The 17,294-nt window shown below is 39.4% G+C and overlaps 1 annotated feature.

The window, feature by feature from the left end:
• Positions 16,014-16,540: an enhancer, noted in NCBI's record as "H3K4me1 hESC enhancer chr1:56835566-56836092 (GRCh37/hg19 assembly coordinates)". NCBI's record gives its function as "activates a minimal SCP1, AML or CMV promoter by ChIP-STARR-seq in primed H9 embryonic stem cells {active_cell/tissue: H9 hESC(primed)}" and the evidence as "EXISTENCE:reporter gene assay evidence [ECO:0000049][PMID:30033119]".

A 17,294-nucleotide genomic window follows, 5' to 3' on the forward strand; every position in this document is an offset into this window, starting at 1 on the left:
GATGCTTCATCAATGATAGCCATGATGATTACCTTTCTACTAATTTCCAAGACATTCTTCCATCCTGGCTGTCTCTCTGGCCATTGGGTGAGTCCCCTTTAAAGGTTCCTTGTCCTCTGGTTACCATTTAAAATGTATTATGCCTGAGAGTTTAATCCTCCTTTATTTTGTTTTTCATCTGTTTGTTTTTACATTTTAGATTGTTACTTTAAAAAATAAAATAGTAACAAGTATTAAGTAGAAGCAAAATAACATTTATGAAATACACGTAGGATATAAAAGAAACATGTACAACTTGCACCCCTGTTCCTACCACCCTTTTGAAGAAATAGAATATTACATTCATCTTTGAAACCTCCTGTGTACTGCTGGGATCCTATCCCCAACCCTTTCCCAACAGAGACAACTGCTATCCTGATTTTTGTGCTTATCTGTTCCTCACTTATAAGTTTTACCACGTGTTTAGTTTTGCAAGCTTTTGAACTTTATATGAAAAGAATCATCATGGATATTCTCTTCTGCAACTTTATTTTTCCACTTAACATTATGTTCGTAAGGTTCATACATGTTGTTTCTGCAGCTCTGCCTTACAATTTTTTGTTGCTGGATTATTCCATTGTATGAATACTCCACATTTCTTTAGCTTTTCTATTGTTGATGAATATTTGGGTTGTTTCCAATTTTTTTTGTTGCTATAAACGTCTCTTCTATATCTTCTTTGAAATTTTCTAGGCTATATATCCAGAACTGGTATTGCTGGGTGAGAGCGTTTGCACATCTTTAATAGTTAATTGAAGATTGTTTTTCAAAATAGTTGTATCAATTTGTACTTCATCATCATTGCATAAATATTCCAATTATTGACATCCTTACCAGTACATGACACTGTCATACTTTTCTTATTGATTTTTTACTCTATCCACTCTCCCTTAGCTCCGTCTACCGCTTCTGAGCTGATGACCACCAAATGTTTATCTCAAGCTTATATCTTTCACCTGAGCTCCATATCCATGCATTCAACTGCCTATTTGATATCTGCTCCTGTTTGTCTTCAGGCAGAGCAAATGTAACATGTCTCAAACGAAGCATATCTTTTTCGGTGGATTGTACCATCTTTACCCCATCATCAAAATGAGGAATCAAGACATCATCCTGGACTGGCTTGGGCAATGAAACCTGTGTTAATAGGATAGATGTCATTACCAAGCAGAAGTTGTAAGACTCAGTGTGTGCTTCACCATGGCCTATACCCCCAGCCACAATGAATAGGGCTTTACATCTGGTGGAGCCTCTGTCAGCCTCAACTCCTGAGTGAAAACAACATGGAGCAGAACCCTGCTTGCACATAAGCAACATGTGGCATAAATAAAATAAAATGTTTGCTGTTTCAAGTCACTGGAAGTTTGAAGTTATTTGTAACTACAACATAACATAGACTATTCTAACAAATATACCCTTATTTCCATCTTCGTGGCTGCTGAACACATACGAGCAGCAGGGCAAAAGAATTTTCCAGTTCCCTTGGAGTCTACTGCTACTAGATTTGATTTTTTTTTTTTTTGCAACTTCCTGAATATACTCTTATGTTGGCATACAAATAATAGCCTTTGAATGCCCAACTTCAGAGTGTGCTGAGTTCTTTCCAAGTGGCATTAGTTGAGGTTTTGGCACTTTCTTTCAGAACACAGCTATCCTCTATCTGCATAAAAGTCAGCTGTTATCTTCTTTCCAAAGCCATCAAATCCCAAAATAGCATGAGTTGGAAGTAGGTTAATATCTTCCTGGCAAAGTCTAGTGTCAGGTTTCAAGGGCACCATTTAACATTCAGCTGACTGGGGGACATAACCTAGACTGTGTCTATAATTCTCAAAGACCTACAGAATTTTGCTTTTAAGGAACTAATCGAATTGAAGCCATATTATGACATTAACCAAGTAAAAGGAAATGAACATTGAGCACCTTCAAGTGCCAAGCATTTTGTGTATACCGTCTTGTTTAATCTTCAAAACCACCCTGTGTGTTAGATATTATTAGTCTAGCTGATAAGTCATTCCAAGAAAATAGATTCAAAGTGAGTGAGTGACTGGCCAAGGTCACAGTAAAGATTCTGGATATAAAGATATAAAGGTCAGAACGTAGGGCTTCTTGTAAGGTGTTCTTTTGAATTCAGCATGGACTCTTCATTGTGTCACTTCATTTAGTGTAAGATTTAAAAATAACACAAATGCGGCCAGATGAGTTGCCTGAGCCTTGACTCACCCGTCTAACAAACATTGCCTTTTACTTAGTCTGTGTGGATAGCAGTGCTAGAGAGAGAAAACACAGAAAAAGAAAAGATAGAATAAATAGAGGAACAAATCCCTGCCCTCAGGGGCTCATGATATACAGTGGTATACAAGGTTACACAGGCAGGCTAATTACAATGTGATGTGATAAATGCATCCATCCATTCATTTCCCAAACATGTACCAAGGGCTGAGGATGTGGAGACAGAATCACAGCGTCTGCCTTCAAGGAGCGCAGAGCTCCATGTCACAGGTGGAACAAGGGAAGTCTATTGAGTGGAAACATCAAGGAAAGCATGGCTGCTTCTCTCAGAGGAGTCAGCAAAAACTTCATACCTGGGATAATTCTGGAGATGGGTTTTGAAAGATAAGTTGATGACAACCAGAAAGAGAGCATTTCAGGACACTAGAGTGGCATAAGCAAAGGCCCGGAGGACGGGGTTGTGAATTCTGTCCTGGAGAGCAGGAAAAGCTTCCCAGAGGAAACTCCGGTGCACTGAGACTTGGAGGATGACTAGGAACAGATCTAGCTGACAAAGTGCAGAAAGGCACCATGAGAGCAGACAGAACAGCAGATGCCGAAGCATGCAGTCTTCTTCAGGGAAAGCGCAAGCAGTTGAACCTGCCTGTGGGGCAAGGTTCACGTGGGGAAGTGGTAGAAAAGGAAACAGGAGAGCAATGGCCAGAGGTGCACTACGAAGAATGTTGAATGGTTTGTAAGGAAAACTGATACACCTTGTGAACTCTAAATATCTGAAACAGGTCTCAGTCAATTTAGAAAGTTTATTTTGCCATTGTTAAGGACGAGCCCGTGACACAGCCTCAGAAGGTCCTGACAACACGTGCTCAAGGTGGTCGGGGTATAGCTTGCTTTTATACATTTTAGGGAGGCATAATACATCAATCAATACATGTAAGATTTATGTTGGTTCAATCCGGAAGTCAGGGGACAACTCGAGATAGCAATGATTACTTTAAATGATTGTCTTAGTCAGCTTGGGCTGCTATAACAAATACCATAGACTTCAAACCACGGAAATTTAATTCCCACAGTTCTGAGCCTGGAAGTTTGAGAGGGAGTGCCTACATGGTTGGGTTCTGGTGCGGGACTTCTTGCTTTATAGACAGCCACCCTCTCACTGTGTCCTCACATGGTGAGGAGTCAGAGACAAAGACAGAGAGAGTGAGAGAGAGAGTGAGTGCAAGCTCTGTGGCGTCTTTTCTTACAAGGACACTAATCCCATCACAGGGGATCCACCCTCTTGGCCTCATCCTACACACCTCCCATGGGCTCCACCTCCAAATACCATCTTATTAGGGATTATGGCTTCAATATAAATTATGGGGAGACACAAATATTTAGTGCATAGAAATTATCATTTAAAAAAGGCATTGTAAGAAGGAAACAACATGGCCACATTTGCAGTTTTAAAAAATCACCCTGGCAAATGTGTGGGATATCATGAGCAAAGCCCCCTCTTCCACACTGGCAGTCACTATTCATGCTGGCAGATTTGATCCAGCTTCTCCTTTGAGCTTCCTCAGCACCTCTGCTTCCCTCTCTCATCACACTTAGAACATGTTTGGTGATTACATGCTTGTATGCTGGTGTCTCACAAGAGTGAGTTTCCTGAGGACAGAGATTGTATTGATCTCTGTGTCCTCAGAATTGTCTGGTAGAAAGTGTGTATTAAAAAATATTTAAATGAATGTGAATCTATTACACGACCACACATCATAGCAGCTGGTCTCCACTTCACTTGGGAGAGATTTTCTCTTTTCATATTCCACATTCAAGTGCCTTATCACTGAAGCCTGACCTGGTCCCAGGCCTATGATGTCATGTTTCAAAAGTTCCTCCTTGGACCCTGGGTGGTATGCATGGTGTCCATGTCCCCCTCACTTCCCAGAACTATTCACATCCAGTTTCCAGTTTCTTTTTACTTGCCTTGAAATTGACGACAAATGAAATTTGCAAGCCCATCTAGGAAATGACCTCAGCACCCAAGTCATTTCCTGGGGCCGTTAATATTCTTAAATGTATGAAGAAGTTGAGGTGTTTTTTTATAAATTCCCAGGACCACTGGTAAACCATTTTCACCCCTATAAATGGATAAAAGATGATGTCACAGCACAGGAGAAGGTCTTGTTGCTTTAGCCCTCCCTTCTTGTTTAATGACTGCCTCAAATTTCTCTGACTTTGGCTCCCTTCTGGAGGCTGACATGCCAGATCACTGGGGCTTGTCTGAGACCTTTTGCCACTTGAGACGATGCATGTTCAGAGAGCTCATGGAAGGAGGGATTGATTTTTCAACATCATAGCATTAGGCTGCACATCCTCTGACACATCCCAGATGGATCCCTTAGCCATTCATTAGTTCAAGCAATATTGATAGAGTTCTTACAGTGGACAAGCCTGTGCTGGATTCTGCAGTCACAGAGGTGAGAGAGGAGGCAGAGTATTTCACTGGTTCCAAGTTAAAACAACCATGACTAAGACCTGCTTTATTCATATCAAAGAATTTTCAGGGTAGGTAAAGAATATGTATAACCACGTGGCTATGATACAATTAATATTGAGGGTAGCAAGAGCTTTAAGAAAAACAAAATATATAAACACACATACTTTATATTTATCATATATAAGCATATATTATATATATATATCTCATGTATAGTTATATAGGTATTTATAACTGTGTATGCCTATTCTATATATTTCCTATATATTATATATAAATGTATATCTTATTTATTCACTATAGTGCTTCCTATAAGCCAGATCCTATTTTGAATGTTTTTACAAATTAATTCATTTTTAAATTCTCACAATATTGCCATGAAATAGGTACTATTATCATCATCTCCATTTTATACATAAGAAACTTGAAGCTTAGATATTTTAAGTAATGTACTCATGATCAATTAAGCTGCTGAGTAAAGATTTGAATCAGGTAGAATATCTCCCATGGCTATGTTATTAATCTCTGTGCTATAAACTGCACAGGGGATTATGAGGGGAGGCTGCACTTGTGTGCAGGCATTAAGGCGTGGGCAGAAATAGCTTGAACAGATCCTTTGAGTTGGGGCCTTGGCAGACTATTCTCAATGACTGGCAAGTAAAATAGCATGGTTTGATCATGATGTAGTTTGGATGTGTGTCCCTGCCCAAATCACATAATGAAATGTAATCCCCAGTGTTGGGGGTGGGGCCTGCTGAGACGTAGATTTCTTATGAGTGGTAGAGCACCATCCTCCTTGATACTGTCTTCACAATAATGAGGGAGTTCATGTGAGATCTGTGTGGCACCTCCCCTGTCTCTCTCTCCTCCTGCTCCGACCATGTGATATGCCTGCTGCCACTTTGCCTTCTGCCATAAGTAAAGTCTCCCTGAGGCCTCCACAGAAGCAGATGCTACCATGCTTCCTGTATAGCCTATACAGAGTCATGAGCCAATTAAACCTCTTTTCCCATAAATTACTCAGGCTCAGGTATTTTTATTTATTTACTTATTTTTGAGACAGAGTCTCACTCTGTCACCCAGGCTGGAGTGCAGTGGCACAATCTCGGATCACTGCAACCTCCACCTCCCGAGTTCAAGTGATTCTCCTGTCTCAGCCTCCCGAGAGCCTAGGACTACAGGTGCGTGCCACCACACCCAGCTAATTTTTTGTATTTTTAGTAGAGACGGGGTTTCACCATGTTAGCCAGGATGGTTTTGATCTCCTGACCTCGTGATCCGCCTGCCTCGGCCTCCCAAAGTGCTGGGATTACAGGCGTGAGCCACTGCACCCGGCCAGGCTCAGGTATTTCTTTATAGCAATGTGAGAATGACCTAATACTGGGCATAAGAAGATGATGCCTGTCTTCAGCTCTGTGAAGGGGACATATGGAAGAGGGGTCACATTCTCAAAGCCATCATGAAGGCCAGTGGGTAGACAGTGCAGGCACATTAGAGGCTGGCTCACTGGTTGTCTATCAGTGAGGCCCGCACAGGAGTGAAATCATCTGCCTCTTTTTCACCCAGCTTGGCTGTTTAAATGGTCTAGCCTGCATGTTTATCTTGGTGGTTAAGGACGTGTCTCTGGGATTCCATTAGGTTGACTTGTTTAACTCAATCGTACTAGAACTTGGGTACCATCCTCCTGTGCCTGAAGAGACCAGCAGTGGCCACAGCTGACAATAAAGACACTAAGTACCTGTTTCAGTTGTCTACTTCTGTGAAATAAACTACCCAAAATGTGATAGTGTAAAACAGCAACCATCTTATTGTGCTCATAGACCCTAGGTCAGGAATTGGGAAAGGGCATAGCAGGTACAGTTTGTCTCTGTTCCAGTGTCTCAGGCCTCAGCTAGGAGACTCAGGCTGGGGTAACTTGATGGTAGGAGCAGGAATCCTATGAAGGCTGCTTTACTCACACATCTGGAGTTGATGCTACCTGTTGGTGAGAACCTCAGCTAAGGCTGTCAATTAGAACACCTACGAAAAGCCACTCCATGTGGCTGCCTGTACTTCCTCACAGCATGGCAGCTGGGTCCCAAGAGTTACCATCCCAACAGATGCAGATGGAAGCTGTATTGCCTTTTATGACCTGCTCTCTAAAGTCCCATAGAATTACTTCTACTATGGTCACAAGATTCAAGACAAGGAAAGATTCAAGAGAAGGAAACTAGATTCAAGAGAAGGAAACTAGACTCCCCACAAATGAAATTGCCAACAGAAGGAAACCAGACTCCCACAAATGAAATTGCCAAGGCCATTTTGTAGAAAGGAAATGTGGGATAGGAGATATTACTATGGACATATTTGGAAAATACAGTCTCCCACATTCAGAATTCATAACAGTTGAGGCCAGCAAGCTCCACTGCAATGGAGCTTGCTAAGAAATGCCAGAGGCCAGGTGTGGTGGCTCATGCCTATAATCCCAGCACTTTGGGAGGCCAAGACAGGTGGATCACCTGAGGTCAGGAGTTCAATACCAGCCTGGCCAACATGGTAAAACCCCATTATCTACTAAAAATATGAAAAATTAGCTGGGTGTGGTGGTATGCATCTGTAATCCCAGCTACTTGGGAGGCTAAGGCAGGAGAATTGCTTGAACCCAGGAGGCAGAGGTTGCAGTGAGCCAAGATCATGCCACTGCATTCCAGCCTGGGTGACAGAGCGAGACTCCGTTTCAAAAAAAAAAAAAAAAAACTATGATACACAGAATACTGTGCATGATTGCATGATTTTTTCAAAAATCTAGAAAAGGAAAATACTACTTCTTAAATTATCTCTCTGGAGAATTTCAGGTGGGTGGTTCAATGTATTTTACTATGAATTCCCTCATATGGAATTATTTTATCTTAATAAGCATAGCTAAAAATATATAACGAGAATTTACACAATATAACATATTTTTTATTTTATTTATATACTTATTGTCATAATTGTTTTACATTTAATATATTTATATAATATACAAATGATTTCAATATTTATAATATTTATATTTACATTTTTAGAAATAAATTGTATATGAATACCCATATTTATAACAGGTATATAAAATATAAATATGTAATAAAATATAATAAAAGCTAAAAATGTGTGCTCATTCCTTTAAGTATTTGGTTTTTCTTAAAGACTTCACTTTTTTTTTTTTTTTTTTTTGAGACAGGGTCTCACTCTGTCACCCAGGCTGGAGTGCAGTGGCACAATCTCAGCTCACTGCAACCTCTGCCTCCTGGGTTCAAGCAATTCTCCTGCCTCAGCCTCCCACGTAGCTGGGATTACAGGCATGCATCATCATGCCCGGCCAAGAGTTCACTTTTAATGAAAAATACTGTAATTTATATCACAGTGATACAGAAGTCTATATTAAAGAAATTATAAATAGCAAAAACACTAAAAATGGCTCACTTGAATTAAATAAAACCCATCAGTTTGAAAAACGTCAAACACAAATAAAATAAAAAGTCATAGAGCTACAATAGAAATTTATCTTCATGCACTTCGTTCACACATTTCTTATTCTCTGAAGAGAGGATTCAACAAATATGGAGACTCCCTGAAGTACATGTACTCTTTTATCCAAGATTCTTATAAATGATCATCTCAAAGAAGAGGGGGCTCTTGCATGAAATACACTCCCTGAGTCTTGTCTTTCCATCTGGCCTCCACCTCCCTAATACACACACACACACACACACAGAGGCAAACACATGCACGCACACACAAGTACACACATGCATTGTCCACTAATGACGGAGCAGCACTCATTAGTCACCTGCAGGTGCACTGACTTAGGCACATCAGGTTTTACCCAGCATTTTTCACAGGAGTAAAATTATATTCACCCACACACCAGAAAGGAGGTCTGCTAGGAATCTTTTAAAAACCGGGTGCTTAATTTATATGAGACGGTGTCTAGACATTTATTTTCTGGAAATATTTAACTTGGATAAGACACGTGGCCCCCAAGATGAATGCAGGATTGAAATATTTCACTTGAAAATCTGTGCAAGGAAACGTCTGGTTGAGTGCAATGAGGTTAAACATAAAAATATTTTCCTAGGATGGAAAGGTCATCCTGTTTGCTATGTGCTAAAAGGACATGGCATTGGAATACTCCTAGTTTCCAAAGCAATAATTACTTTTGCTATACCTATATTTCTGTAATTATATATTCATTTACATAAGTCTATATGTGAATACACAACTTAGTTATTGGGGGAGAAATACTAGAGATAGAAATTCCAGAGATTATATACAATGGGGGCTTTATTTGACTTTGAATTTGAAATTTTTGCTTTAATATCCTAGGCTATAAGGGGACAAACACATTTTTCTGTAAAGGACGAAGTAACAAATACTTTGGGTTTTGCAGGCACTACAGTGTGTCACAACTACTCAGCTCTGCCATTGTTCTATAGAAGCTGCCAAAGATAATACGTAAAGATAATACATACACAAGTGGGTATGGCTATGTCTCAATAAACTTTGTTCACAAAAACAGGCATTTGCCACCCTCTGTCTTAGATCAGCAGCTTTAGAATCATTTTAACTGTGACTCATAAGAAATAAATTTTATACCATCACCCAGAATAGACATCTATATGTGTCTGTCTGTGCACTCACAAAACAATACCTACCTTTATAATGAGCATGGGTGCGGTTATTTTCTACTCTATCCAGTTTGATTATAAATAATTTTTTAAATGCTGACAGCCACCATCTCAACTGATTTCAGGACCCACTAATGGGTCATAACCCCCAGTGTGCAGAAGACTATACTGGGCCAACTCTATGCTTGTGTTTAAAGTGAATAGCGTGCAAACAGCTCGAGGCAGACAAAGAATCACTGTCCCTCTGTTAATGAATGGGAATGCTTGCCCTTAGTCTGAAGCTTCTGCGCCTGCTTGGGTTTTCACATCTCTGGAATCTGATAAAGTTGTGACCCAATAACTAGAGAGAGCATGCATTGCGGAGAATAATGAGTATAAAAGGTCTGGGTAAAAGCCAGAGGACAGGAAGCTGGATGCTTATCTTTTTTAATGGGGAATAGGGAAACAATCTTTTCTCTTCAGAATGAGTCTAGTAGAGCTAGCAGAAACCTTTCTCTAAATGGAACCAAAGTGGGCAAGAAAACAAAGAGTAAAAACCTTTCTGATGCAAGGGATTGAGCCCCAGAGTTAGAATCAGATGTTGTAGTCCCAGTCCTGCTGTGGTCACTATCTAGTTGACAGCCTTGGCAGGTCACTCCTCTCTCTGGTCCTCAATTTCCTATCCTGCTAGCTGGGTGAATTTAGGCAAATTCCTTTACTTCTCTGAGCCTCAGATTCCTCAAATGTGAAGTAGGGTGATAACGTTACCTACTTCAGAGGATTGTAGTGGGGATTACGGAAACAAGTTAATGAATGATGTTCATAAAGTATTTGACACATGCCTAAAACAAAGTTAACATTTGGTATATAATACCTGCACAAGGATATATAAATACTTGATACATAACACTTGCTACTGTTTCCCCCATCTTTTTATTTTGAAAACTTTCAAACAGAAAAGTTGAAAGGATAATCCAAGTAACTCCTATTTTTCCTAAACTTAGATTTACTTAACTGTTAGTATTTTGCCATGTCTTCACATGTTCCCCCCATCACACACAGTCTTTCCCTCCCTCATTAATCAATCTGTCTATATCTATATCTATTTACATACATATGTTTTTGTGAACCATTTAAGAATAGCTTGCAAACATCAAGACATTGCATTCCTAAATAATTCAACATGAATCTCTCATCTCTTACAATGATATTCTTCCTTACAATATCATTATCAGACCCAAGAAATTTAATTTCATAAAATATTATTTAATATACATTCCATATTCAAAGTTCCCCAGTAATGTTCAGAATCCAAACAAGTATCACACCCTGCATTTGGCTGCCAGATCTCCTTAGTTTGATCTAACACAGAACATTTCTCCTGCCTTTTTACTTTCTTTTTTTCATGATATTGACTGTTTTAAAGATTCTAAGACAGTTGTCTTGTTATGTATATTTGGACTAGGACAAAAAATGAGTAAATATATTGACTTTAATTGGAAACCATGATTCTCACTGTAAAAGATGGGAGATGTAAATATCAGTGAGGAAGGTGAGCAAGAACACGGTATTGTATTGTTTCAGACTTTGTATTAATCAGGATTCTTAATTAGAAACAGAACCAATAGGATTTGTATACACGCACACACACACACAAATATATAGAGAGAGATTTATTCAAGGAATTGGTGTACAGGATTATGGAGGCTTCCAAGTCCAAAATATGCAGGGTTGGCCAGCAAGATAGAGATCCAGAGAAGAGCCAATGTTGCAGTTTAAGGCTGAAGGCCATCTGCTGAAGAGTTCCCTCTTGCTTGGGGGACATGAGTCTTTTGTTTTATTCAGGCCTTCGACTGATTGGATGAGGCCCATTCACATTAAGGAGGGTAATCTGCTTCATGTAAAGTCTACAGATTTAAATGTTAATCTCATCCAAAAACATCCTCAAAGAAACCTCCAGAATAACGTTTAACCAAATATTTGGGCACTGTGATCCACCCAAGCTGACATATAAAACTAACCATCAGAGACTCCAATAGATGAAGATAGAGACAGAAATACATATACATACATTTATTTATTTTAGCTCTGTAATGAAAGGGCCCAGAAGCAATGATACCCCAGTAGCAGAGAGCACATATTATGTCTACATCTTGATTTCTAAATACCATTCTCCACTAAAAAGAACCACTGCCTCGGGGTTGCAATCCTAGTCTCTGATAAAACAGACTTTAAACCAACAAAGATCAAAAGAGACAAAGAAGGCCATTACATAATGGTAAAGGGATCAATTCAACAAGAGGAGCTAACTATCCTAAATATTTATGCACCCAATACAGGAGCACCCAGATTCATAAAGCAAGTCCTGAGTGACCTACAAAGAGACTTAGACTCCCACACATTAATAATGGGAGACTTTAACACCCCACTGTCAATATTAGACAGATCAACGAGACAGAAAGTCAACAAGGATACCCAGGAATTGAACTCAGCTCTGCACCAAGCAGACCTAATAGACATCTACAGAACTCTCCACCCCAAATCAACAGAATATACATTTTTTTCAGCACCACACCACACCTATTCCAAAATTGACCACATAGTTGGAAGTAAAGCTCTCCTCAGCAAATGTAAAAGAACAGAAATTATAACAAACTATCTCTCAGACCACAGTGCAATCAAACTAGAACTCAGGATTAAGAATCTCACTCAAAGCCGCTCAACTACATGGAAACTGAACAACCTGCTCCTGAATGACTACTGGGTACATAACGAAATGAAGGCAGAAATAAAGATGTTCTTTGAAACCAACGAGAACAAAGACACCACATACCAGAATCTCTGGGACGCATTCAAAGCAGTGTGTAGAGGGAAATTTATAGCACTAAATGCCTACAAGAGAAAGCAGGAAAGATCCAAAATTGACACCCTAACATCACAATTAAAAGAACTAGAAAAGCAAGAGCAAACACATTCAAAAGCTAGCAGAAGGCAAGAAATAACTAAAATCAGAGCAGAACTGAAGGAAATAGAGACACAAAAAACCCTTCAAAAAATCAATGAATCCAGGAGCTGGTTTTTTGAAAGGATCAACAAAATTGATAGACCGCTAGCAAGACTAATAAAGAAAAAAAGAGAGAAGAATCAAATAGACACAATAAAAAATGATAAAGGGGATATCACCACCGATCCCACAGAAATACAAACTACCATCAGAGAATACTACAAACACCTCTACGCAAATAAACTAGAAAATCTAGAAGAAATGGATACATTCCTCGACACATACACTCTCCCAAGACTAAACCAGGAAGAAGTTGAATCTCTGAATAGACCAATAACAGGCTCTGAAATTGTGGCAATAATCAATAGTTTACCAACCAAAAAGAGTCCAGGACCAGATGGATTCACAGCCGAATTCTACCAGAGGTACAAGGAGGAACTGGTACCATTCCTTCTGAAACTATTCCAATCAATAGAAAAAGAGGGAATCCTCCCTAACTCATTTTATGAGGCCAGCATCATTCTGATACCAAAGCCGGGCAGAGACACAACCAAAAAAGAGAATTTTAGACCAATATCCTTGATGAACATTGATGCAAAAATCCTCAATAAAATACTGGCAAACCGAATCCAGCAGCACATCAAAAAGCTTATCCACCATGATCAAGTGGGCTTCATCCCTGGGATGCAAGGCTGGTTCAATATACGCAAATCAATAAATGTAATCCAGCATATAAACAGAGCCAAAGACAAAAACCACATGATTATCTCAATAGATGCAGAAAAAGCCTTTGACAAAATTCAACAACCCTTCATGCTAAAAACTCTCAATAAATTAGGTATTGATGGGACGTATTTCAAAATAATAAGAGCTATCTATGACAAACCCACAGCCAATATCATACTGAATGGGCAAAAACTGGAAGCATTCCCTTTGAAAACTGGCACAAGACAGGGATGCCCTCTCTCACCGCTCCTATTCAACATAGTGTTGGAAGTTCTGGCCAGGGCAATCAGGCAGGAGAAGGAAATAAAGGGTATTCAATTAGGAAAAGAGGAAGTCAAATTGTCCCTGTTTGCAGACGACATGATTGTTTATCTAGAAAACCCCATCATCTCAGCCCAAAATCTCCTTAAGCTGATAAGCAACTTCAGCAAAGTCTCAGGATACAAAATCAATGTACAAAAATCACAAGCATTCTTATACACCAACAACAGACAAACAGAGAGCCAAATCATGGGTGAACTCCCATTCACAATTGCTTCAAAGAGAATAAAATACCTAGGAATCCAACTTACAAGGGATGTGAAGGACCTCTTCAAGGAGAACTACAAACCACTGCTCAAGGAAATAAAAGAGGACACAAACAAATGGAAGAACATTCCATGCTCATGGGTAGGAAGAATCAATATCGTGAAAATGGCCATACTGCCCAAGGTAATTTACAGATTCAATGCCATCCCCATCAAGCTACCAATGACTTTCTTCACAGAATTGGAAAAAACTACTTTAAAGTTCATATGGAACCAAAAAAGAGCCCGCATTGCCAAGTCAATCCTAAGCCAAAAGAACAAAGCTGGAGGCATCACACTACCTGACTTCAAACTATACTACAAGGCTACAGTAACCAAAACAGCATGGTACTGGTACCAAAACAGAGATATAGATCAATGGAACAGAACAGAGCCCTCAGAAATAATGCCACATATCTACAACTATCTGATCTTTGACAAACCTGAGAAAAACAAGCAATGGGGAAAGGATTCCCTATTTAATAAATGGTGCTGGGAAAACTGGCTAGCCATGTGGAGAAAGCTGAAACTGGATCTCTTCCTTACACCTTATACAAAAATCAATTCAAGATGGATTAAAGATTTAAACGTTAAACCTAAAACCATAAAAACCCTAGAAGAAAACCTAGGCATTACCATTCAGGACATAGGCGTGGGCAAGGACTTCATGTCCAAAACACCAAAAGCAATGGCAACAAAAGCCAAAATTGACAAATGGGATCTAATTAAACTAAAGAGCTTCTGCACAGCAAAAGAAACTACCATCAGAATGAACAGGCAACCTACAAAATGGGAGAAAATTTTCGCAACCTACTCATCTGACAAAGGGCTAATATCCAGAATCTACAATGAACTCAAACAAATTTACAAGAAAAAAACAAACAACCCCATCAAAAAGTGGGCGAAGGACATGAACAGACACTTCTCAAAAGAAGACATTTATGCAGCCAAAAAACACATGAAGAAATGCTCATCATCACTGGCCATCAGAGAAATGCAAATCAAAACCACTATGAGATATCATCTCACACCAGTTAGAATGGCAATCATTAAAAAGTCAGGAAACAACAGGTGCTGGAGAGGATGCGGAGAAATAGGAACACTTTTACACTGTTGGTGGGACTGTAAACTAGTTCAACCATTGTGGAAGTCAGTGTGGCGATTCCTCAGGGATCTAGAACTAGAAATACCATTTGACCCAGCCATCCCATTACTGGGTATATACCCAAAGGACTATAAATCATGCTGCTATAAAGACACATGCACACGTATGTTTATTGCGGCACTATTCACAATAGCAAAGACTTGGAACCAACCCAAATGTCCAACAATGATAGACTGGATTAAGAAAATGTGGCACATATACACCATGGAATATTATGCAGCCATAAAAAATGATGAGTTCATATCCTTTGTAGGGACATGGATGAAATTGGAAACCATCATTCTCAGTAAACTATCGCAAGAACAAAAAACCAAACACCGCATATTCTCACTCATAGGTGGGAATTGAACAATGAGATCACATGGACACAGGAAGGGGAATATCACACTCTGGGGACTGTGGTGGGGTCGGGGGAGGGGGGAGGGATAGCATTGGGAGATATACCTAATGCTAGATGACACATTAGTGGGTGCAGCGCACCAGCATGGCACATGTATACATATGTAACTAACCTGCACAATGTGCACATGTACCCTAAAACTTAGAGTATAATAAAAAAAAAAAAAAAAAAAAAAAAAGAACCACTGCCTCTTAGAGAAACAGCTGATTCTGGCTCTGGGGCAAAGAAAATATAAGGTAAGTCGAGAATCTCTTGTTGTCAGAAAACAAAGAGGTACTCAAAGATTGATGGCGAAATATCAAAAGAACATAGGAATTGGTTTGAAGGAATTCCCACTGGTCAAATCAATTGGGAAATCAAAAAGAATAGTGATAATAATTCACAGTCCACTTAAGAATAAGAAAGAAAGAAGAATCCATAAGATCATGATAATAAATATAAAATTTAAAGTAGGAAAGAAGGAAGTTGTTCTTTGAAATAGTTACTACTAGGAAAAGGAGGAATATTGGGTTCAACTCTATGGTCTTCAAGTTTTTTCTTTTTAAGTGAAAGCAAGTTTATTAAGGAAGTAAAAGAATAAAAGAATGGCTACTCCCTAGGCAGAGCAGCCTATGATCTTAAAGTTTTAATGTCATAGAACTCCAAAAGGAGCAAAAATAGGCCTGTCTTAAGTACTCACAAATAAGAGCAATTTTACTTCCTCCATAATACTAAGTTCTTTTTAAATACCTTGGTCTTTTCTCCTTTTTGTAATCAAGATTCTTCATTTGAGTTAGAAAACCCAACTGTATAGGGTGGGCAAATTTTAAGTCATATTAAAAGATTCAAGGGCTTTAGTTGATAGGAATAGTAATATATGATTTGGCTGCTCCCAAAATTGATGAGACCTCAGACTGCACTCATAGGAAGAACGACTCCAGAGAAAAGGAGGTGATCTTTCTGCTTGTCTCTCGGTTTGGTAGCTTTTATCGGAATGCTGAGACCAATTCTTGGACAGAGATAAACCAAATTCTCACCCATAGGAAACTGTCCCAATTTGGGCTGGGGAAAGAAGGAAAGAGGGTAAAAGAACGAGTTATTGAGAAATGGCTGAAACAAATTGGAATGATGCTGCTGCTGGTGGTAATAACTATTCTTTATGGAGTGAAATGCCAAGAGTGCTGGTCCCACTAAGTCCCTTTGTACACATTATGTTATTCGTTCTCCCAGTGACACTCTAAGAGAGGCAATAGTGACCCAAGCTCAGAGAATTAGGTGGGGTGTGTAAGGCCACACAGACACTAAATAGCAAAGCTGTGATCTGACCAAGATCTGTCCAAATCCAGTGTTCATGCTCCTGTCCCTAGCGTACACTTGCCTTTGACTTAAATATGAGGTTAGGTAACCAGGAGCAGATTCCAGCTCTATCCCTATAGGACACTGGATTTATTACTCTCCTTCTCCGAACCTTGGGTTCCTCAGCCTTTTCTCAGAACTTGGGCACCTTTGCCCTCCTGATTCTCTTCCACTTTTCCCTGACTCCACCCCACCCTCACCATAGCTGCAGACCCTTTCTAATGAAAATCAATTCATCTCTACTCCACCTGACCAGCATTCCCAATCAGCAAAACAAAAGCAGGTGTCAGGAGAGACACGCACTGAAACTCGAGAGTTTAACGTCTTCTCTTTCATTGCTGTTTCCAAGGCCTTAATGAGGACAAAATTAGATAAGGTTTGGGGAAGAAGCTCTGGGTTAACGAGGTGTTTGTATGTGTATATCCCGTATACACAGAAAATATCCCCCACACAGAGAAAAGTTCAAAGACAAGTATAACAAACGCATTGAACGCACCACCTGGATCTAACAATGTTAATATTTTGCCATGTTTGCTTCAGATTTTTTTAAATTAAAACATTTAGTTGAAGATCCATAGAAGTTCCCTCGATAAGCTTTCCCTACCTCTACCCTAGAAGTAATTATTACCATCTAGAAGCATGTATTCTTCCTTGCCAGATCTTTATGGTACATAAAGAGTTAATTTTAAACTTGTGGCATTGTTTCGCATTTTTTAAAATATT

Source organism: Homo sapiens, chromosome 1 (assembly GCF_000001405.40).
Source record: "Homo sapiens chromosome 1, GRCh38.p14 Primary Assembly".
NCBI classification, from domain to species: Eukaryota; Metazoa; Chordata; class Mammalia; order Primates; family Hominidae; genus Homo; species Homo sapiens.